Raw genomic sequence first — 23,089 nt, forward strand, 5'->3', positions numbered from 1 at the left:
TTACCCAAAAATGTTCAATTCTAAAACGATATTTCTTTGAAATAATTATTTATTTGAGTAGAGATAAAGCTTTGGCCTGCATTATATTCTCTCAAAAAAAAAAAAAAAGACAACTACTATATATACTGATACCTATTTATTTTCTGGAAGTGTAGTTCAGCTGATGCCACCCCCAACTCAAAAACCTCAGAGGGCTCCCGACTGCCTGTAAACTTAAATTCAAATTCCAGAGCCCAGTAATCAAGAGGCTTACTCTCCATACTAATTCCTATGATTTCCCTTAACTCCTCCTTCTTTCACTCACCCGCCAGCAGCCCTGTCCATTCTCCTTACCCAGGCTTTCCAGCCTTCCTGCCTTTGCTGAGGCTCTTCCCTCCTAGGAGCAGGAAGGCCCTTCTCTCACCACCTGCTAGCCCATCTCTCCTTTTCTAAATCTTATTCATTCTTCCCATCTCAATTCTAAAACTGCCTTCTCTGCGAAGCCTTAGAACTCTGTTAGGTGCTGAATTATCAGACAAAGAAAAGTTAGCAAGTGATGGCCCCAAGTAGCTTTTGCATTTTAATTTAACCCTAAATTAACCCAAATGCTTAATTTACCAAAAATGCCTCATTTTCAAAGCATACTGATTATTCCTTCTCTGCTCTCGGGAGCAGTGCCAATAGGGGCAGGAAAGAAAGGGAAAAAAAAATGAGAAAAAAATAAAGCTTCTTTTCCTCATGGACTCCTGGAACAAAGCAGATATTCAATAAATGAATACACGAACGAATCCAATTTTTTATGGACAAGAAGTTAGTCCAATGGCCCCAGGAATCAGATACAGATGTACAAGATAAATATTCTCTGTATCCCAAAAAACCCACACAAAGAAACACACACTACTCTCGGCCCAAGCAGGGAAAGAAAGAAAAATCCCGTTTTGACTCCTGAGGCTTAACTGGGATTCCCAGCTCTCCCAGACCTGTGCTGCCTGCCCTGGGTGATTTGTTTCCGAAACTAAGGACCTGGTGCTCAAAGCCTGATTTTCTCCATGCAAAGCCATTCAAAACCATCTTAGTCACACAGATAGAAGGTGAAAATATATTGCAAGCAAACTACTGGACTGAGGTCTAGTTTATCAAACCAATTACACTGAGATGTTATGGGAAGGGGGGGAAATGTAATCACATATGACAAGGATTATCAAAACTGCTTACACAGTAAATCAGGAAACTGATAACAGGCTGACAATGGCATATACCTGACTGAGGAATTTCAGGATTCCCCAGGCTTGTAAAACAGAAATAACAACACAGAACGAGCTGTGCCGTGCTGTCGGGGACTGGGATACACCTGGGTGAAGGGTGGAGGGTGAGAAAGGCCTGGGACAGGTGAAGCAAGAGTCTGTCTCAAGGACCCTTCTCCAAGACCTTGTTTTGCAGGGTGCCCTTTCTTGTTACACTCTTCAGAAACATCTTAATGGGTCCTGACCTTGGTCAACACAGAATTAGAGCAGTAAGTCAGGGGTGACATGAGGAAACTCCTTGGGGAACAGAAAGAGACACAGAGAAATCAAAGTTGTGGTAAGGACTGGGGTCTATCAGAGCTCCACCTTGACAGGAGAGTCGGGAAAAGAGTCATTCTGCTTCGTTTCTGGCATCAACTGACTTTCTGAGGAATGGCCTAGAAAGCTATATGGGGCTTCACGAGTAGGGACGTGCAGGCACACTGAGAAGCTCTCGCTCCTTTTTGGACCCTGCCTTTCAGGGTGTTGAGAGGCCATCCAGGGCAGGCAAAGGCATGCAGAGTGGTGTCATGTTGTACCCCAAATAAAAGGGCAATAAATTAACTTTCTGGAACATAGAGTCACCGCAGGATCCATCGGGGCCCAGAGCAAAAGCAAACTGCAGGAGATACCAAATGAATCACTGACAGACAAGACACCAAAATAGAGGCCCTAAATAAAGCAACTGACCTGGAAAAGGAAATAAATACCTACATTTTAAAGGAGGGCTCTCCTAGTCTTCCCTGTGCCTCACTAGGTTTGGGGTTTTGTTCACAATTGTGGCACCTTGAAACACTCTAAGAAGTTTGGCTGACTCAGGAGGGCACAGGCTTAAACTTTATCAACATCGGAGACGGCCGTGATTTGCATCAAGTTCAATGCTGTCCTTTTGGCAGTTGTTGCACTTAATTGAGTGAAAAAAGCTGTCAGTCTAATGCCCCAATCCCAAGGTAGATTCACTCTGAACTAACCATCTGCCAGGGCTTCTCCCAGGGTAGTCAACACTTATCATCCAGAGGACTGGATTCACTTTCTCATAATTAGATCATTCCTGAATTAAATTGACGGTCCCAGGGAAAAAAAAATGCAAAGTGTGTTTTGAGACCAGAAAGCGGAAGCCGACTTGTTTTAACAAATGCAGAAGACTACATATTTTTCCACAGCAACAGAGTGGCAAATAAATGACTTTTCCTAAATTAGGCTGCACAACAATTATTATCTTTCATGCCATCCTTTGAATTATATTCAGGTTTTTATTTGGAAAGTTAAGGCATTTCTTGGAAGCTCCACACACAAACCCAAAGAATGGGTAGCTAGCTGTTCACAGTCCCAGGTACCCAAGCAAAGTCAGGCCAGGCTGACCAATCTTATCAAATGCTGTGAATGTCAAAGTCTCTGTGCATTTGCTGGCACACCCATGAACCTGCTCCTCACTCAAAATAAAGGGAAAGAATTACACGCAGTTTCTTGTATCCCAAGGTAGCCATTTGTTGGAGAGGCCTGGGTTAGGGGAGTCAGGTCAAACAAACCACTAAGACATAAACCTGGAACCAGGTCCCAAAAGCAACACAATCATGCTCTAAGCAAAAACAGGTGAAGATATGAAACAGGAGGAGAGTCTGAAGGTTTCTCTGTAAACATGATTTCATTCCCTGACAGTAATTGGGTGATTTGCCTCGAGTCAGATTCAGTCTCGTGGGCACTTAACTGCACAAGGTTTTTCAAACATTGCACATTAACTCAAATTTTTCCAGGAAATATTTCTGAATTAACTAAAGTGCTTAGTAATTTTTTTTCTATTGTTCTTCAGAAGTTTTCACACCACTTGGTTATCACTATTTTTCTGATGAAACACAGAGACAGAAACCAGTGAAACACTGTCTCATAGGGCCTTCTCCAACCATAGGTTAGGAAAGATTAATTTAACTCAAAATAGAATGAGACCAATACATTTTTTCCTGAATATCCAGATTAGACATTTCCATGCTTACTTTTGCAAGGGTATGATATTAGAGGTAAGATAATGGAAAACACAAAGAACAAATTAGTTCCTCATAACATTACAAGCGAAATCGAACTGACTATTAGATTCGATGTAATATCTATATATGTAATATGATATTTCTATTTCTCAAACTTTTAATATTTATCAACCCTGCTTGATCTTTTTTTTTTTTTTTTGAGACGGAGTCTCACTCTGTTGCCGAGGCTGGAGTGCAGTGGTGCGATCTCAGCTTATTGCAACCTCCGCCTCCCAGGTTCAAGCGATTCTCCTGCCTTAGCCTCCCAAGTTGCTGGGATTACAGGTGCGCACCACCATGCCCAGCTAATTTTTTTTTGTATTTTTAGTAGAGATGGGGTTTCACCATGTTCATCAGGCTGGTCTCAAACTCCTGGCCTCGTGATCCGCCTGCCTCAGCCTCCCACAGTGCTGGGATTACAGGCATGAGACACTGCTCCCGGCCCAACCCTACTTGATCTTAATAGTTACCTGCAGCATTTCTTAAAAACATAAGGTTTTTGGGTCCTTCTTCTAGAGGTTTAAATTCAGTAGGTCTGGGCCTCAATAACCTTTTACACAAACTTACCAGATGCAAAAACTTAGAGTGGAACACAGAGGCTAGAATCAAAGCAAAAAGAATAAGAAGAAACGTACAGATGATGCAATGCTGGCCTGGGTCAGGGGCACTCACCTTCATCTACACATACCCTAGGAGGGTAGGGCCTGTGGTGCTAACAACCTCATAGGAGCAGGAGATGAGATCTTGCAGCCTCGCTTGGCCAGAAGCTAGAATTCAGATGCCTATTTTAAGAGTACCCTTGAAAAACAAACCCCTTCATGTAAGAAAGACTAGAAAAACTCTACCCCTTGCCCAAGGAAGTAAAAAAGGAACTTGCCATCTACCTGGAATTCCAGGTAGAAAAAACAAAAACAAACAAACAAACAAAAAAAAGTAGGCCCATATGAGAAGCTGAAATCCTAAACCTATGGAATATGCAAACGTATTTAGGCTCTGAATTTCCACTACCCTGTGTTGCAGGATAGAGACACTTGTACAACCCAAGAAACACAGTACTCAGTGAGAAAAATAATTTCTGCTGAAGATGATTTTACAGTCAAAAATTACAATCATATAAGGAACAAGTTCACTATACGTAAGATACAAATAACAGAAATTAGTATACCTTAAGTACTTGACATAATTGACTAGTATTAATATAAAACAAGCAAGTCTGAATATTTTTAAGAAGTTTTAAAGAAGAAGATATAGAAAACATAATGAAGGAACAGAATACTATGACCAAAAAATAGGCAAGTTTTAAAAAATTCTAGAAAGGACAGACAAACATAGTCACTTAAAATTACACAAAGGACATGACACAAAAGAACACATTTGGCATGTTTCCATTTATGTGAAATTCAATAAGAGGCAAAACTAATCTATGATGATGGAAGACAGAAAAGCATCTAGCTTTGGGAGGATATTGCCTCAGAGGGGCTTTCAGGGGAGCTAGAAATGTTCTCTGTCTTGATCTGAGTGATGGTTTCATGAGTGTTTTCCCATGTAAAACCATCATCACTTCATGTATATTAAACTACCATTTAGGAATTTCAATAGGCAGTTTAAACAGCAGAGTAGATAGAATGAGTGAACCATTCTGAAAGAACCAAGGAAACTGCCTGAAACATGAGACAGACAGAAAAGGAGATAAAAGATATAAAAGAAGTGAAACGGGATAAAATGAGTAGATCACTCATATATCCAACAGAAGCTTCAGAAAAAAAGATTAAGAAAAGACAAAAGTGTCCACGAACATTCTAGAATTAAAGGAAAACATGAGTCTTCACAATGAACAAGCACAAGTCTTGAGCAGAATAAATAAATAGATCCATGCTTAAACATATCATAGTGACCCTGCAGAACACCAAAGAAAGAGAAAATCTTAAAAGCAACCAGGAAGACAAATTACCTGCAAAGGAACAACAATATGACTGACAGCAAACTTATCATCCGCAACATTAGATGCCTCCTACTGGTCAAAGGCCACTGCCAAGCCGTTGACAATGTGGAGAATGAGTTTTGTTCAAAATGTTTGCAGAGAGTACCTATTTTTTCACTGAGGCTGCTTAGTGTCAAATGCATCCTTCCTTCATTCCTTCAACAGACTGAGTACCCACTATGTGCCAGCCTGGGCAAGGAACGTTTCTGCTTTCAAGGAGCTCAACACTGTGAATTCAGGTGAGTTGTGAGCGCTGTAATGCAGAAAATACAGGTGCTCTAGAGGGCAAAGGAATGATGTCAAATCCAGAGGAGAGAAGTCAAGGATAGCTTCTTGGAAGAGGGAGATCCAAGCTGAGACTCACCAGATGGGTGGGAATTAGCAAGTGAGGACTGTGAACTCCATGACAGCAGGACCCTCGTCTGTCTTCACACGAATGTATCCCCAGGATTCAGAACAGTAACTGGCACTTAGGAGGTGCTGCATAAATGCTTATTAAATGAATGAGTGGATAAATCGATTGTAATGGCAATCAATGAGTGGATAAATCAGAGCAGATAAATCAACACAGGTATAAGGGAAAGCACATGGAGGTGAGAATGCAGAGCATGTTGGAGGACCAAAGTTCAGTATGGCTACAAAGGCGAGCACGTATGTGAGTAGGGGAAGGACAGATGAAAGATGAGTCTGGAAGGCTGGACAGGGGACACCTGAGGCCAGGTTAGAGGGTTTGAATTATATTCTATGAGCAACCGGAATCCAATGTAGGGTTTTAAGCAAGAACATGAGATATGAGATTTGCATTTCCAAAAATCCACTTTGGTCCCAGTGTCCATGTCAGAAAAGTGAGCACTGTTCCATAAGGGAAAAGAGCACTTCCTCACTGGTATTATGACATGCAGCTTTCAGACTTCCACCCAAAAAGTATGCGCAAGAGAGAGCGAGCAAGAGAAATTGAGACTGTGCGTGAACAGGTCTAAGAAATAAACATAAAATCCTGGCTATCCAAATCCTGCAGTGGGTGTATTTTCCAATCAGCCCTGAGGCTTATGGAAGAGATAAAATAGGAAAGGAATATGTCCCCAGCTCCAGCCGAACATTCTGTTCAGGCTTTTCAATCTAAAAACTTCAATGTGCTGGTCGGCACCATTGCTGTTCTCGTGTTTGGCCTACGCTGGGCCAAATCCTGCCCCAAAATATCAACGTGTCATATGTGGGCCCAGACAAGGCTTTCTAACTCTTCTGAAGTTTGAGTTTTTTCCCCTTCTTATAAAAGCAGTGAGCCAGAGAAGAGTCCATGGTAATAATTATGGCTTTTCTTGTGTGGACAGCATCCAGAAAGGGGCAGCAAGCCCACAGAGCCTGGCTGAATAAAGCCATTCCTCAGCCAATGCCAACTTCAGCAACTTCTCTGTTAGCAGCTCTTGTTAGAGCTGCAAAGCACCGGTAGAGCTGGCGAGGGTGGGGGGCAATTCTGAGGATATGTCCACCTTGCGTTCAAGGGTCCTGCCGTGTCATAAACTCTGCATCTTTCGTATTCACAGTACACAGCACACGCCTCTGCCAAGCCACAGTCGCAGGTTGTTCTCAACAATTGGTTAAAGTTACTTGTCAGGATTGCACGCAGGAATTCCTCCAGCAAGATCAGAGTTTCGCTTTGTCTAGTCAGCCGGAAGTCAGCTAAGACAGTGAGGAAGAGAGTAAAATCTCACGGAGTTCTCTAGCACATCCGTCTCAGGCCTAGGAAGGGCAACAGGATACCTAAGGAATGAAAGGAAAACCTGCAACCAGAAGAGTGAAGGAGCTGGCACAGGAACAGCCAGAGGGCAAGAGAAAGTAGAAAAACAATCTCTAGGGGCAGCTGTGGTCAGCTGACTTGGCTGAACACTGCACAACTCCAAGGAGCTCCATTTGCTTAGGCTGCTTGCTACCTCCCACCTCCACACATGGAGAAGGGCACACACACAGATGAAAAGGGAAGCCAGGGTGCTGGGGCTGTTACGGAGACACATTTAATGCAGTCAGGGGAAGGGGATGGGGACCTGGGGTTGGTGGTATGGTAGGAGGCACGAGCCATGGTCGAGAGCAACCTTCTGGACTCAGACTCAGCAACTCTTCTAGGCCTCGGTCCTCTAATCTGCAACATGGGGTTCATAATTCTTGCTTCCTAAAGACGCAGTGAGAATTTTAAGGACTGAGCCCAGTGTGTTCAGAACCTAGAGCAGATTAAGCTATCAATAAGAGCTCCTAACTATTGTGAACCACTATCACATCACATACCGAACTCTAGGATAACATTCTTATTAACTCATTGAGGATGCAGATAATACTTTATTTAATCTTTGTAACCTCAGCCCCTAGTGCAGTGCCTGGTGAATATAAGAACTGATTATTGCAGAAGGAAGGGAGGGAGAGAGGAAGGAAGAAATTCTTATTTCTATATCATGGCCACCCAGCAAGCGTCAGGCATTATTGTGAACACTAGCATATTCACAAATACTGTTTGTTGAATGGAAAGTATTTATTCATCAGCTACTTATAAAACAATAGCTGAGGACTTGCTGTATGCAAAGCACTGTGTTAAAAACCCTGGGAAACACGTGGACAACCCCACGACATCCCTGTTCTCAAGGATCTCATAACTTAGCCAGAGACTCCTACATAAATCATCCTAGCAATAATCAACTATGATAATACCATAATATAGGCCCAAATAAAAGAGGATGCTGACCATCCCGCCCTTCACCCCGACCACCAAACAAGATATGGCATTTTTTTCCTATTTCCTTCCCGATGGAGAGAAGAAAAATTTCACCACTTTAAAGCTGTGGGAGAAAAGGATAAGGATGTGATCACACCTGGATGCAGTTTGCTCATCCTCCAGCCCGGCAGCACACAGCCCTCAGCAGCCCTCTCTGCCCAGTTGCCAGATCTCAGGCTCAGCACACGGGAGGGTCTGATGTTTACTAAACAATGGCCTGGCTTATCTTTCTCCACAAGAATCCTACCATATGGATTCAACAAAGGCAAAGCTTTCGCAGGACCCAAGAGGCAGGGTGTGATGCTCTAAAGGATCACTTCCACCAGTGGGAACAGTCTAACGCCTAAATTCCAAAAGATATTACTGATACTGTTTATAATTAGCATGCTAAATAAAACTGAGGCAAGCTGCTGGCTTTCGTAGGCCTCATCCCACTATGCAGTTAGAAGAATATGTGTCTGTGTATACGTGTGTGTATATATATATATGTATGCATATAGACACATATGTATACATATATACACACACACACATGCATATATACACACATGCACACACACACATACTACTTGTTGGGCCCAACCTTTCTGAAATTTATAATAGAGAAAGCCTACAAAACATATTTACCACACATGTGAAGATGAGAAAGGCAAATGGAATAGACTTTCTCCTTCATCCTACAGGACGTGCTAGCCAAGGATGGATTCCAGGAAGTTAAATGGACCTAAGAACAGCTGAGGCTCAAAACATACTACAGATTAACCACATTTCCAGAGCTAGGTTTTAAATGAGAGAATCATTTGAGGAGCATCCAGAATACTGACTTGCTACCCTCCATTAGCTAGAAGCTCAGCAAATGGAAGTGCACATCGTGGTTTCACTCACAACATGAAAAGAACAACACACATTAATACATTAGAGTTGTCTTCTCTATGGTTTCTCTTTAAAGAAATCAACAGCCCCAAGACTTAGCTCAGTCCTCTTCTCATCACATCTACCTTTTCATCACAATTACATTTGGCAGTCTTCGTGATTCCGAGCTGAAAAGCAAAGTATGAGGCTGTTTCCCTCTGTGGGTTTGTTATTGTTCATGATAATTCTGATGACTTCCAGAGAAAAATCCTGAAAGTGACATTACTAAGTTAGGTTAACAGCCAGTGTCCTTAACTCTTGCTTCCAAATACTTCATCCAATGTGTAAAATAAATGCAAAACAACAAACAGGCTGTCATTGGGAAAGCTTGAGTCAAGTTCCCTAACGCAGAAACCTTACATTCATATTAATCACATAGCAAGGAAAAGTACCTACAGCTAGTGCTTTCACATTACTGATAGTTACTACATAGCTGCTTAATCACATTTTCAATGACCCAGCCAGCTCAATCTACTGACTTGGAAGGGTTTAAAACACAAAGCTCCGGCCTCTTCTGCAAGGGAAGGCCTGAAATAAAGACCTCGCATTTCTCTAAGAGAGACCTGTTTTTTCCCAGTATGGGGGTAGGCAAGAGGAGGGGAAGCGCTCCAAGGGTAGGAAAGGAAGAGAAAGGAGTCTATCAGTTGATGAATGAATAAACAAAATGTGATACATCCACATAATGGAAGATTATTCAGCAACATAAAGGACCAAGGTACTGATCCATTTTATGACATAGACAAACCCCCAAAACACAATGCTAAGTGAAAGGAGGCAGACACAGAAGAACACATAGTATATGATTCCACTTAAATGAAATGTCCAGAAAAGGAAAATCTATATATAGAGAAAACAGATTAATGGCTGTCTTAGACTAGGGCTAGGAAGGAGGAGTAACAGCAAACGGGCATGTGGATCTTCTGGGGCTGATGGAAATGTTGAACTAGACTGTGGTGGTGGTTGTACAACTCTATAAATTTACTAAAAATTATTGAATTGTATACTTAAGATGGGTGAATGTAATGGTAAGTAAATTATGCTTCAATAATAATTTTTTTAAAGTTGGAATGAATAAAGAAGTATATTCTTTGGTGGTTCCTTTAAAAATCACAGGATTATAGAATATCAGAGCTGGCAGGAAGCTGTAGTTCAGTGCCTCTCTGTACTAAGGAGAAGGTGAGGTCTCAGGGTGAAAGCCATTTGCCCAGAGCCACTTACATAATTAATGGTGGGCTGGGATCAGAACCGAGGCCTCCTGGTTACTTGTCCAGTGTATTCTTCACAATTTGTCTTCATTATTTTGCTTCACATAAACACTCAGGGCATTAACCATAAAGATAATAAAATATCCTCACAAACAGATGTGCCTGATTCAATGACCAGAATGTTTTTGTGGTATATATCATACTGGATAACCCATGATTTGGTTATTCTCTGCTTGCGTTAGTACTTATATTTTTCGTTTTCTTGTCTTCTCAGTATTTGTTTTTAGGTAAAATCCATGGCTGTTTATAAGCTTTAAATTGAAGGTTCTTTCCTTACCCTAAAGATTCACAGATGAGTTTTTCAGAAGCTGAATCAGCTCTAAAAGCCTCACTGCTTCAGTACTTCTAATGGCCAACATCCTAATTCAGAGCTCGCCACAGGGGCTTGTCTTTCTAATAGAAATGTAAAATAGATCTTTATTTGCCACAAAATTAAAATGTGATCCAATTATGCACAATATGAAGGAACTTGTTGTTGAATTACAAAAAAAAAAAAAAATTCACACACTCTAATTTAAAACAATGATACCCCAGCCTTAATTACCTTGGGTTTCACTACTGTGATTTCAAACAGTACAGGAATAGGAAGAGAGGTGACCATGCCTAAGATAAAATACACATAGGAAAATACAACTCTGTTGAAACAAACAAATGACAAAGCTAAAAAATTTTAACTTTTTAGAGACAAACCAACCACCCTGTAAATTATTAGTATGCTTTAGGCATCAACCTATGTTATGAAATGAATGTTTGTGTCCCCATAAAATTTACATGTTAAAGCGCTAATCCTCAGTGTGATGGTATTAGAAGGTGGGGCCTCTAGAAATGTGAGAAAATAAATGTCTGTTGTTTAAGCCACCCAGTTGATGGTGTTTTGTTATAGCAGCCTGAGCTAACTAAGACAGCCAAATACTTTACTTTTGTACAGTTGTGCAGACCTCTGTATAACTCATTACAGTGATCAAGGTCAAATGGTTACACAACATCCCTTTCTCAGGAACTCGATCAGGGGTTATTCATGTGCATTAAAGTATGTGAGAAAATATTTAGCCTCCCTAAATCTGCATTTTGCAAGGGGCTATTCTTGCACTGACTTACTTATACATTTATAGTCTATCTCCCAATGCTTTTGCCTTGGCATAAAGTGAAAATTAAAATAGAACTGCATATTTAGCTCAACTTCCCCGCCACAGAACCAGTCCCTAACTTTCTAAAATGTACTTCAGCCTTAAAGTGATGCCTGTCTCGAAACTGCTTCACTTTTCAGGTCTCTGTGTGTACAGGGGCCAGTTGGACAGATGCTCCCGGGATGCTGAGGGTTCCCTCAAGAGGCAGGTGTCTCCTCTAGAAACATAGATGTTAAAATGTGCAGTTAACAAGGAAGGGCAGAGCTTCACTAACCAGCATGTGCAGAAGCTCAGAATTGAAGTATACTGATGATCTTACACTTAAGAAGACTCCAAACTGCCCACAGGGATCAGAACTTTTATAGCCAGTCTTTCTCTGACAATGCCCAGTACTGTTTCCTATTCCATCTAAATGACCCAGCTGATACCTAAAATGGAAAGAAAAATTCCAAAACTGAAGGCTGTACTTATAGGCAATAAGGCGAGTCTAAGACCTAAACTAGATAATTTGAGAACAGGGAAAAAAGATTCCATTTCGATTCCTGAAGGTTACCCCCATACCTATTATAACAGAATAAAATAAAATAATTCGAAACTGCACAACCTCTAACTTATCAAATCCTATATATGCCTCATTTTCTCAAATGACTCCTAATTTGTGTAAAGAAAAAGGCAAAAAGAGAAAGGACAGAAGTATGTCAAGGTGGGCTAAAGCTATGAATACCCTTTTATGTAAACTAAGAAAAAAATAGATACACACGCATTTTTTAAAAGGGAACTTTTTGAAACCTTGAGCCGCAAAGAGGAAAAATTCCTGGCTAAATTGCACCACTCAAAGACAACTAGACTTACGGTCATAAATTTCTTCTCCAACCCATTTCTTTCAGGATTCTTACAGATCCATAGCATTTTGCAAGCTGACATAGGACCCTTTCAAACAATGCAACCTAACCTTCACCAACAGCTATGATTCTCTTCCTACTCTTCTGCACAGAGAGGCCCTGACCCTCAGCTGTCGCTGGAGCTCGAGATGGTGGCCAAGGCGAAAGCAGTCAAGCCGGAGAACTCCCGAAGGTGGTTCTCAGGTAACCAGCTGGTTAGATTTCATCTTGTGTGAGTTTAGCTTTGCCTAGCTAGGCCAAGGAGGCACTTGGCCTGGGTTTAGAATGATTTCTGTTTTTCTTCAGGGCTCAATTATAAACAGCCCAAAGAAAGGCTCTGCTGTCCTGGAGGGCACCTTTCAAGAGAAACAAAAATGGGACGCTCGCTTAACAAAAGGGGACTGTTTGGCCACCAACGTCCTGAACAGGGTCTGAGTGTATAACTGGAAGGGCTTTCTGCAAAGTTAAAAAGACAGAGAAGAAAACAACAGCAAAAAAAAAAAAAAAAAAAGGATCATCACAGAATCTCCCATTCCAAACCTTCCTTCCGCTCAGAAGTGCCAACAGATAAAATATAAACCCCTTTGAAGAAAACTCCAGCCGGAGCTCAGCTTTCAGGTTTTAGAAGACACTGGCATCCCAAGGCCTTCCCACTGTCAGATCAAACACACACAAAATATTTCCCTGATATTTTCCCAGTTTCGCCCACACCATAAAAAACAGGCTTTCCTTTTAATCTACTTACCACACTGTGGGTGAAGGCCTCTAATTTCACAGCACAGAGATAACACAAATAATTCATATGACACATTAGTGAAATATTGACAGGGAAAACATCTAGTCAGAGCTCACCGAAAACAACAGGGAGCTCAGTGATGGCCACAGAGGGCAGAGGGATGCCTTTCCAACAGGGCAGAGCCCCCTCCCGCCACACTACTTGAGTTGAAGATAAAGTCAGCCTATTTGGATCCGAATTGTTTTAAGGCAACAGGTCTTCATAATTACACAACATTTTTCTGGTCCCTCGATGGGCTGCAACATCATCAACCTCCTTCCAGGACTTCCAGGGGCTGCTGCGTATGTGAAAGTCCCTAGAAAACTGTTAAGTGCCATCAACTTGCAGCAATGGCAATCCCACCCAGTCATAACCAAGGTCAGCATCCGCCTGGCCAAACACTTGGTGCATTTCTTTTTCTCTTCCTGATCAACTTAAAAAAAAATTCTTTCACTTAGTTTCCCATGGCTAGACCCAGCCTTTGAAGATCTCACCCCCTTTCTCAAGACCCTCTTTCAACTTCCTCTCCTACGAAGTCTTCCTCCCAGGGCAATAAGGAGACCTATCCACAGCTACTATTCATTCCATTTCTCCCACCCTTAAGGTTCTGCCAAGTGTGGGGCAGATTGCCTTTAGAGACAGGACAACTCAATGCTGTCTGTGTAGAAAGGGTTGTTTGTTTGTTTGTTTTAAAAAAAAAAGGCTGCAACACTTCAATCATCAGTTAGGCATGTTGGGAGAGCACCATCAAAGCAGAGAAAAGTGAAATGCAACCCGAAACAGCAAAGGGTCTAAAACCTGACTCTGGGCTTACAAACGTTCTGACTTTATTTTTACTTATTTATTTTTTGGGACGGAGTCTCACTCTGTCGCCCAGGCTGGAGTGCAATGGCGCAATCTCAGCTCCCTGCAACCTCTGCCTCCCAGGTTCGGGTGATTCTCCTGCCTCAGCCTCCCAAGTAGCTGGGATTACAAGTGCACACCTGGCTAATTTTTGTATTTTTAGTAGAGAAAGGGTTTCACCATATTGGCCAGGGTGGTCTTGAACTCCTGACCTCAGGTGATCCACCCACCTCAGCCTCCCAAAGTGCTGGGATTACAGGCGTGAGCCACCATGCCAGGCCCATTCTTACTTTTTTACACCTTATGTAGATGTAGGGTCTCCAAGTCCCAATCCACTTTTGTGAGAGACTTTTCTTTGTCATCGTACCAATCCAAGCCCTTCAATTTCCCAACCACACCCACTTAGACCTTAGATTTATTTTCTGCTGATATCATTTCAAAATCCATGAACATCACCTCATAGATGTAAAAATTCACCTTCTAATCCTCTATCAAGAGTGCTGCTCAGAGTTAGGACTCCAGCTCTCTAGCCTGGCCCTCCTAAGTGCCAGATACTTGCTATTGCTATTTTTTTGTTTTCTTGCCTAATGCCACATGTAACATATTGTCACCTGCTCCCTGCTAGACCCCCATTCCCCGCTGCCCATCAGATATGTCCCTGGAACTTCCAACTCAGCCCATCCCAAATTGAACCCATGCCTTCTCTCCTCTTCACACTCTACTCCACTACACTGTCCCAGCCAATAATCCCGGCCCACACTCTGCACTTGACTCCTGCCATTCCCTCCATCATGTTCTTCCAACTCCACTTCCTGGGGAATCCTACCGCAGAGTCAACTCTTCTTCGCCTTCCACTCCCAACCCTCACCCCAGTCTTGGCCTTCAATATCAGTCACCAGAATTATTACAGAATCTCCTAACTTGGTTCCTTGTCTCCCTCCCTAACTCCACATAAGTATATTTAAGTACCTTACCAAAAAGAAATCAGGTATTTTTCATTTGTTCAAAATTTTGCTATAAGACAAGGTCCGAAATGCTTAGGCTCGCCCCTGCCTACTTTCTCCAACCTTATCTCCTACTCCTCACCAGCATACTCTCAGGCCAAGCTACATCTCACTTATGTTACCTGAATGTGCCATGAACTCTCCCCTTGGGTGCCTCAGCCTGGAATGCCCTGTCACTTTTTGCCAAAAGAATCTCCTCATTTTTCTAAAACCCGGGCAGGCATAACCACCTCAGTGAGCTTTCCCTAACTCCTCTCGGGGCATTTTCTCCTTCTTCTCTATGTTATAGGTTTCCTAAGTATCTCTACTATAGCATGCTACATCTTTTTAAAGTAATGTCTTTCTTGCCCATCAATTCACTTAATTCAGCTTTGTCGTTCCATTGACTAACATGGGACCTGACACATAGTAAGTGCACAAGAATATTTGATGGATCAATGCAAGGAGGCGATATATTCTATTATACTGCCCTTAAACATTTGAAACTTTCGAGGAATAGATTTTCTTGCTTCATCCCAGTCCTCCCTCAGCTGGCTCATCTTTCACATATTGATTCTAAACTGCACGTCACTAGCATCCTGAGGGCATTCACCGAATGCTCATGTAAAAGGCAGAGAGATATGGGACAGAACACTGAAGACAATCTATAACCTGGCTCCCAAGGAACTGAGACCAATGAGAAGATAAACACAGCTGAAGTCGCAAAATGTGAATCCAATGAGGACTATAACTAATGAGAGCTAAAACCAGAGTGTGTTTGCTACTAAGAAAATAATAATGGAAAAGACCAATTAATAAAGAGATGTTGTCAAACGCCATGACAATTTTCATTAAAACATTTTATTAGGCTGAATATGATATTGATGCTTTTTCATTGAGGTTTGTATTAAAACTTCTCCACTAAATATATTCTTAATTCAGATGCCAGGCATTGATACTGTCTACTATCTCCTTAAATCCTTGCGGGGTTTAAAACTTACGTTGTTGATTTCAAAGACAGGGAGTGAACAGTGGCTTATGAAGCAAATTCGCTTTCAATATATTGATCATCAGAGCAAGCATTATATATACGAAAGTTAAAGGTATTCTAAACTACATACAATCTCATCTCTATGGACAAGTCTTTCTGAGGTTCTAGATTACCAGATGGTGGTGTTGGCAATGCCACAGAAGCAAAATCCAAAAGCGGGGGCAGGTGAGAGATGGGAGGCCATCAGTATAACCCCTTCTAGATGCTGTGGTGGCAGAATGCAGAGAGGGGGCCTTGGAGGCAGCAATCCAGACTGGAGATGGACCAGGTAAAAGTTTTCAGGACCTCCCTGCCCATACCACCCTAACGGTTGAAAACTCCTGGACAATTACTGCCAAACTATCCCCTGAAGCCAGTCCTCTTGTGGGCGAAGGGATAATGTCACTGGAATGTCATCAAAGTTTAACACCTTCTTGGACTTTTTTTTTTTTTTTTTTTTGAGACGGAGTCTTGCTGTGTCCCCAGGCTGGAGTGCAGTGGCACGATCTCGGCTCACTGTAAGCTCCGCCTCCTGGGTTCATGCCATTCTCCTGCCTCAGCCTCCCGAGTAGCTGGGACTACAGGCGCCCGCCACCACGCCCAGCTAATTTTTTTTTTTTTTTTTTTTTTTTTGTATTTTAGGTAGATATGGGGTTTCACCGTGTTAGCCAGGATGGTCTCGAACTCATGACCTCGTGATCCGCCCGCCTCAGCCTCCCAAAGTGCTGGGATTACAGGTGTGAGCCACCGCGCCTGGCCCTTCTTGTACTTTTAAATCTACCTGTCCCACTGGGAGCAGCCATGTTGGACACTGCCTTCTCAGGTCCTATTTCTGCTCTTAGGGTTCATGTGTGACTTAAGGCATAGAAATGTGCCTCTATCTTTCTGCTGTGGAAAGAAAATTGTTTGACAAATGTCCTTCCTTAGGAGATAAATGACAAAATAAAATGATCATTCCTGGGCCCTTAATACTTCTTTCCAAAACTTGAGAAATACCAGTTAATAGGGGTTCTCAGACATGGTAATAAGGATGAAGAGGTTGAAACAAACGTAGAAAGCCTTGTTTTCAAAGCCTGGCATTGATGCCATCATTGACTTGACTTGTCATAATTAATATGTGTCCCCATTCATAATCAACTTGTTAAAAGGCAACATAAGCCAAGCATTTTTTTATGCCAAAGTCATATATCTTCTTGATCTGCCTGACACAATATGTATGTGTGCATGTGTGTGTATATTTATATATGTGGCTGTGTATATATATGTATATGTATAAATAAATTCACTTTGCACAGAACCAATTATTTTTGTTCACTGACTGTTCAATATTATAGGACTGGGGTTTCTCTTCTCAGCTAGAGTCTATTTCTTAAAGACCAGCTCCTCTACGTCTGCATGTGTGTGTATCACTCACACTACCACAATACAAATTAGACAAAATAGATGCTTAATGGTGTAATTCACTTTACAATGGCACTATTATTACAGCATTACTCTATTTTCATTACTACCGCATATTAGAATCGGCTTCCAACATGTTTGAGTGAAGAAATAAAACAACCTAATCACAATGCCAATTAATTCTGTAAAAGTCATGCAGTATATCAAAACTAAAACATTTCACAGCCATCTCAGAAAGACAGGATTCCATACTTGCTTCACTATTTTTAGCCAGCTATGCCTCTACTCCTTGAATACTTTGACCTATCCTAGTCCAGTTATAAGCCAAAATCGATAAAAGACCCTAAGCAAGTTTAATTGATTCTCTAAGAAAGGATATTATAATCCATCAGCACACCCTCACCTTGTGCTGACATTATTTTCCTGGGTTTACCTAATACCACTGTGGTACCAAAAACTACTCTTTCTCACGCTGTTCTCTCATCAGCTCAAATACTGTAACAGCAGAGCAATTTCAAACAGGTTGCGAGTCTTTTAGAGTATTGCTTGCAAAGTGCATGTAAATTATTAGATTACATTACAAGTGAAAGACTCAGCAGTGGGTCACCATAGTGGAGCATTAATGTACAGCAAGTTGAATGGAACCCTTGCAGACAAGCTTCTCCGATGTGATTTTTTTTTTTGGCAGAAAGGAGAAAGTGAGTAAAGGGAAGGGAGGGCAAGGAATGATGGGTTGGTGAAAAGTGAAGTCTCTGAGAGCACCAGGGCAAGGTGGGAATAAGGTAGCAACCCCAGCCTCAGTGCCTGGATGGGGCAGCCAGAGGGCAGTACAAGAATAGTGGGAGCAGGGAGACAGGGAAAAGGGAAGGAAGAAGCCAGACAGGTATGGGAGGTAACGTCAGGAAAGCTCAACAAGTGGCTGATGGGGCTGAATTTCAGTGATTTGTCCTCTTTTAATTGGATCCAGCCCATGGTAGCTGAACTGAGGGATTAATGAATTTACCTAAGGTCACACGGCTAGCACAGCACACACCTGGGTCTTGGCCCAGGTCTGTCTCACTCCTCCCAGCAGGCTTGTAAAAACCACATACACATATTGTCTCCCAACACGTCCAGCTTTGGTCTGAGTTGCTCAAGACTAGAGTAGGCCTGATCGTGCAATTGAGGGGATCAGTGGATTCAAGAGAGGCAGAAGTCACACAAACAAGTGCAGCTGAGTCCAAACCGAAGGCCCCATTGGAAATATAAGACAGCAGGAGATGTGCCTGCAGAGTTGGGAAGTGCCTAGCTGGTGTACTGAGAAGGCAAACACCTCTGCAGGACAATGTGGAAGAGAGTATCTGCATGCTTAATGGGCACCTATTTTATGCAAGGTATCGTGCATGGAGTAAAAACATAAACTGTGGTCTTGATCTCCTTAAGACTAGGCTCATACCTGGAAAATAACTATCAGACAGCGTAAAAGAGGCCTGGCAGAGGAAGAGGTTACATGTTCACTAAATGAGCAAGGCCCATATGACTGACTGCTGTAACAAACAGGAGTCTGGGAGCTTCAAGAGGGAGAAGGTGGATCTTATCTGGAGTGAAAATGATGGTAGGATTTCAATGAGCAGAGAGAGAGATGGGGACTAGGTGAGGCAGAGGAGGAGGGGAAAGGTGAAGGCACATACAAGGTAGAGAGATGAAAAGGCCAAGTTCAAAACACATTTAGAAGAGAACCACCATAAATGCCTGGTCTGAGGTGACCCAGGTATTTCAGTGAGCTTCTTAAGAGAAATGCCACCACTCAAATATAAGATCCAGAAAGGCAGGGAGCTCGCCTCTCTTGTTTGCTGCTTTATCCCCAGGCCCTAGCACATAGAAAGTACTCAGTAAATATATGTTGAATGAAAGAATGCCACCCTTGGGCTCTTACACACTGATGTCAGCTCCAAGCAAAAGAGGGATCCCAGAATTTATATTCTAAGCCAGTCTAGGCAGATGTGCCTCTAAATGTACTAGCATATTAATGAGCATGTGCTAAAAGTGGCATAAAGATACTGTATGATTATAAATAATAAGTATTTACATTATTTTCCCTCCCCCTCCTCCTCCCTGAAGTCATAATGAGTAACACCTGGAGCTTAACATCAGTTACTGTGGAAACACTTCCTTCCTCCCCCACTGCTGGGCCATGGTCCCCCAGAAAGGCTGCTTCTACTTCATGCCCAGGACAAGGTTTTCAAATAGTGAGGAGTGGCTCATAAATAGATCATGAAACCAATGTGGTGGCTCGTAATCTGTATTTTAAATAATAGAGCAAACACAATCACGCATCACAAGTGAAGGGTAAATATTTTACATGAAATGTTTGTGTGTGTGTGTGTGTGTGTGTGTGTGTGTGTACTAGTTCACAATGTAATTAATATGTTTTTCTCATTGTGGATCACGGTATTAATGTCTCAAAGATATCGCCCTGAGAGGCAAGCGGTTCCAGTGTTAGGACCTGTAATATTCAAGCTGAATGACCCTTGTTTTACCGGCTAAATGTGCCTGTCAAGTGGTATTTCTCTTTGGCCCGGTAAACTTGACCCATCCTGAAACACTGAGATGTTCTGTGTAACATACTAAGTTCAGAATCAGTTCCTTCAAAGGATCCCAAGTTTCACAACACACAGTCTTTTGTGGAAGAAAAAATGATTTATTTTTTCTAATTACAAAAGTAACATATACATAATGTAAGAACTTCAAAAAATACAGAAAAGCACAAAGAAAAAGAAACTCACAGGTAATCCCAGCATCCACAGATGACCACTTTATCATTTCATCATTTTGGTATTCGTGGGTCCAAGTTAATTTACTAATATAACTCACACACACACACACACACACACACACACACACACAATTTCCTTCTACAAAAAAGATGGCATTCCATGCACACTGCTATGAAAGCTGTTACTTTTCACTTAGCAATGGCTGATAGACACTTTTTCTTGATAAGAAATACTTTTCTAGTGCAACATGATTTTTAATGGCTACATAATATTCCATTCACAGACTTGATCCTGAGCATCTCTAGACAAGGTACAGCCTTAAATCCTCTACTTTGAGAAAACAAGCTTGCTGCGGAGACACACATCTTTGCTGTGGGCCTCCTGGCTGTGTCTAGCTCTGGTGAGCACTAAGCATGAGATGCTCAACTCTATACCTATTAATAGAAAGTAAAAATAGTTTTACTTTCCACTAAATCAGAGCATGAGACTTGGACACTATTTTCACTATGTTTTAGAATGGCTTTACTGACATAGCCACAAGCTCACTGGTGGATTTTTAATTAATAATAAAAATGCCCAGTGGGGTTAAAAAATAACAATTACTGACAATGTTCCACTAATAATGCATAGCCAAAATAACCCATGCTTAATTTTGTACATAATCTACTGCCTAATGCTAGATCAACTTGCACACATCTTAATAGCCTCATTAGGCTGGGTGTGGTGGCTCATGCCTGTAATCCCAGCACTTTGGGAGGCCAAGGCGGGAGGATCACGAGGTCAGGAGATCGAGACCAACCTGGCGAACACGGTGAAACCCTGTCTCTACTAAAAATACAAAAAAATCATCTGGGCGCGGTGGCTGGCGCCTATTGTTCCAGCTATTCGGGAGGCTGAGGCAGGAGAATGGCGTGAACCCAGGAGGCGGAGCTTGCAGTGAGCAGACATCACGCCACTGCACTCCAGCCTGGGCGACAGAGCAAGACTCCGTCTCAAAATTTAAAAAAAAAAAAATCCTCATTATTCGAACTTTGGAGGATCCTGGCACAGCACACAAGTGACAGGAACATGAGGTAAGAAAGTACAAGACTTGGGTTCTAGTCACAGTCTTGCTGCTTACTAGGAATGTGATCTCGAACACGTTACCTTTGTCAGCATCAGTTCAAATAGGGTGGGCTAGGCTCGCTGATTCATAAAGCCCTTTCTGGCTTTAACACACTTTAGTCTAATAAAATACGACCAAGTGGTAGCATCATGAGTGAGTATCACATATTTAACATACAACCCCAAGTTCAAGACTAAAAAGTCAGCTTTAGAGGGTTCAAGAGCCCTTTCAGTGTAGCTTCAGTTCTTCTTCTGATTCCCTGTGAGTCCTCAAGAATGCTAGGGAACCTCACCAATCCTTGACTGTCATCCTTCACACTGTGAAATTTTACAGCTTGCAGGTTAACAGCCTGGTCTATAGAAATTGCCCGGGTTCCCACTTTCTGCACACATGTGCTCATCCAAAGCACGTGATGAGTGCCAGAAATGGTAAAATACAACTCTGGCAATTTCACACTTGTCATCATCAGTCAACTAATAAGAGCACTAAAAGAGGAATCATTTTTTGATGATCAGGTTATTTCATTTGCCTTTGCTTTCCCAATGCTTCATTACCTGGACAATTGAGAGTTATGAGCAGTTCACCCTCCCAGTTGCCCTGTCCCTTCAGATATAATATCCCCGTCACACAAACATTCCTGAGAGTACATGCTGTATTGTCACATGGCCTTTTCATCATCCACTGGTTTTATAACTGGAAAGTGAAAATGAAAAGCAATGCAGTTTATTTAAGAGGTTTTAGACTTGCTAAATATACATGTGTGTCCTCTGTGATTGGATGTTGAAAATCCATTAATTTCCACACAGCCACTCCTCCCCATGACTGGCATCGATCATATGGGATGAAATAAGCCTCTTTGCTTCTGGAAGGGCGGAATCACATCTGGTTGCCTTTTCTCTGTCTTTGTCCATTTCTTCAGGTTTCTTTAAAATTAATTGGAAGAGTCAATAAACACGGCTGCCAATTCCCTTTACACCCTAGGAAAGCAGCTCACCGTGCCCTTCAGACCTATTCTTGCTGTTTTTCCAAGTACTCCCTTACCTGCCTTTGTCAATTGGCATTCTCGACAAGTTCGTCATAACTTCTCAAAGTGTCAACTTTTCCTCTTTTCATTGCCCTTGTTAAAGATAATTTAAAATTAGAAAGTCACATTCCCAGCCATTTCAGAGTCAATGCTAATGTCATTTTCCTTTGCACAGAAGTCTCTTTTCCCTCTAGAGGCTCCCTGCCTTCATCCACAGCCCCCACTCCCCAGCCCCAAACAGGCATTGTTAATCTCTGCAGGCACTAGTCCATTCCCCTATTTCATCCTTCTTATCTTTCCCCCAAAATACTTCACCCAGTGAAACACACTTTAGCTTCTGGTTCTCCTTCCTTCACTCCACTTCAGAGAGAAATGTCTGGGTCTAGAGATTGTAAAGTCACCTTCAGGAAAGAAGCATACAGTTGACTGTCAATTAATCAGGATAAGACAGAAAAAATTACACCATGTGCAGCTTGGCTTCTCAGTACATGCATTTATGTTTTGGGATCAAGAGGATTTCTTCCGTACAACCTAAAATTCATATTTATGGCTTTTGTTTGGCTACAACTAATTCCCTTCCTAACTGCACAGTAGTTAATAGTCTGGAATTCTTAAAACAGTGATTACCATACTTCATAGTAGATTCAAACGATGGTCCCTCATTTCCCCCTCATTCTATTTCACCTCTATTCTTGCCTGTTTATTCTTGGTAGCATTCTTTGCTTATACAAAAAAGTCAGACGATTTTATATTCTATAATTTTTATTCTCGTGGCTAGTTTGACATAGATTTTAAGCCCGTTTACTTTCCCCCATTAAGCACAGACCTAAACATCACCATTCTTATCACGTGTACAATCCCATCAAGTTTCAGACTGTCATTTATACACAATTTTATTTCTTCTTACTTCTTTCACACACGCCTACCACTTACGTACAGCAACTTCACTACATTCATATTTC

At 41.9% G+C, this 23,089-nt stretch overlaps 1 protein-coding gene and 1 long non-coding RNA gene across 4 annotated transcripts in view; both read right to left on the reverse strand.

Moving 5' to 3' along the window:
• The window catches only part of RORA (RAR related orphan receptor A), a 741,019-nt gene that overhangs the window by 710,299 nt on the left and 7,631 nt on the right, over positions 1–23,089 (reverse strand). The gene's annotated exons all lie outside the window — the stretch shown is intronic.
• Positions 1–23,089, reverse strand: part of LOC105370841 (uncharacterized) — a 47,242-nt gene that overhangs the window by 22,517 nt on the left and 1,636 nt on the right. The window contains exons 2-3 of one of the 2 annotated variants that reach the window (XR_001751772.2): positions 22,457–22,528; positions 1–22,220 (exon numbers count right to left, since the gene is read on the reverse strand). The exon at positions 1–22,220 is cut by the window's left edge and continues 22,517 nt beyond it. This is a non-coding gene — a long non-coding RNA (uncharacterized LOC105370841). Of the gene's footprint in view, positions 22,529–23,089 lie in introns of both variants that reach the window. The other variant, XR_007064661.1, reaches the window with a different exon arrangement.

The sequence above is a fragment of the Homo sapiens genome, chromosome 15 (genome assembly GCF_000001405.40).
Source record: "Homo sapiens chromosome 15, GRCh38.p14 Primary Assembly".
Taxonomy (NCBI): domain Eukaryota; kingdom Metazoa; phylum Chordata; class Mammalia; order Primates; family Hominidae; genus Homo; species Homo sapiens.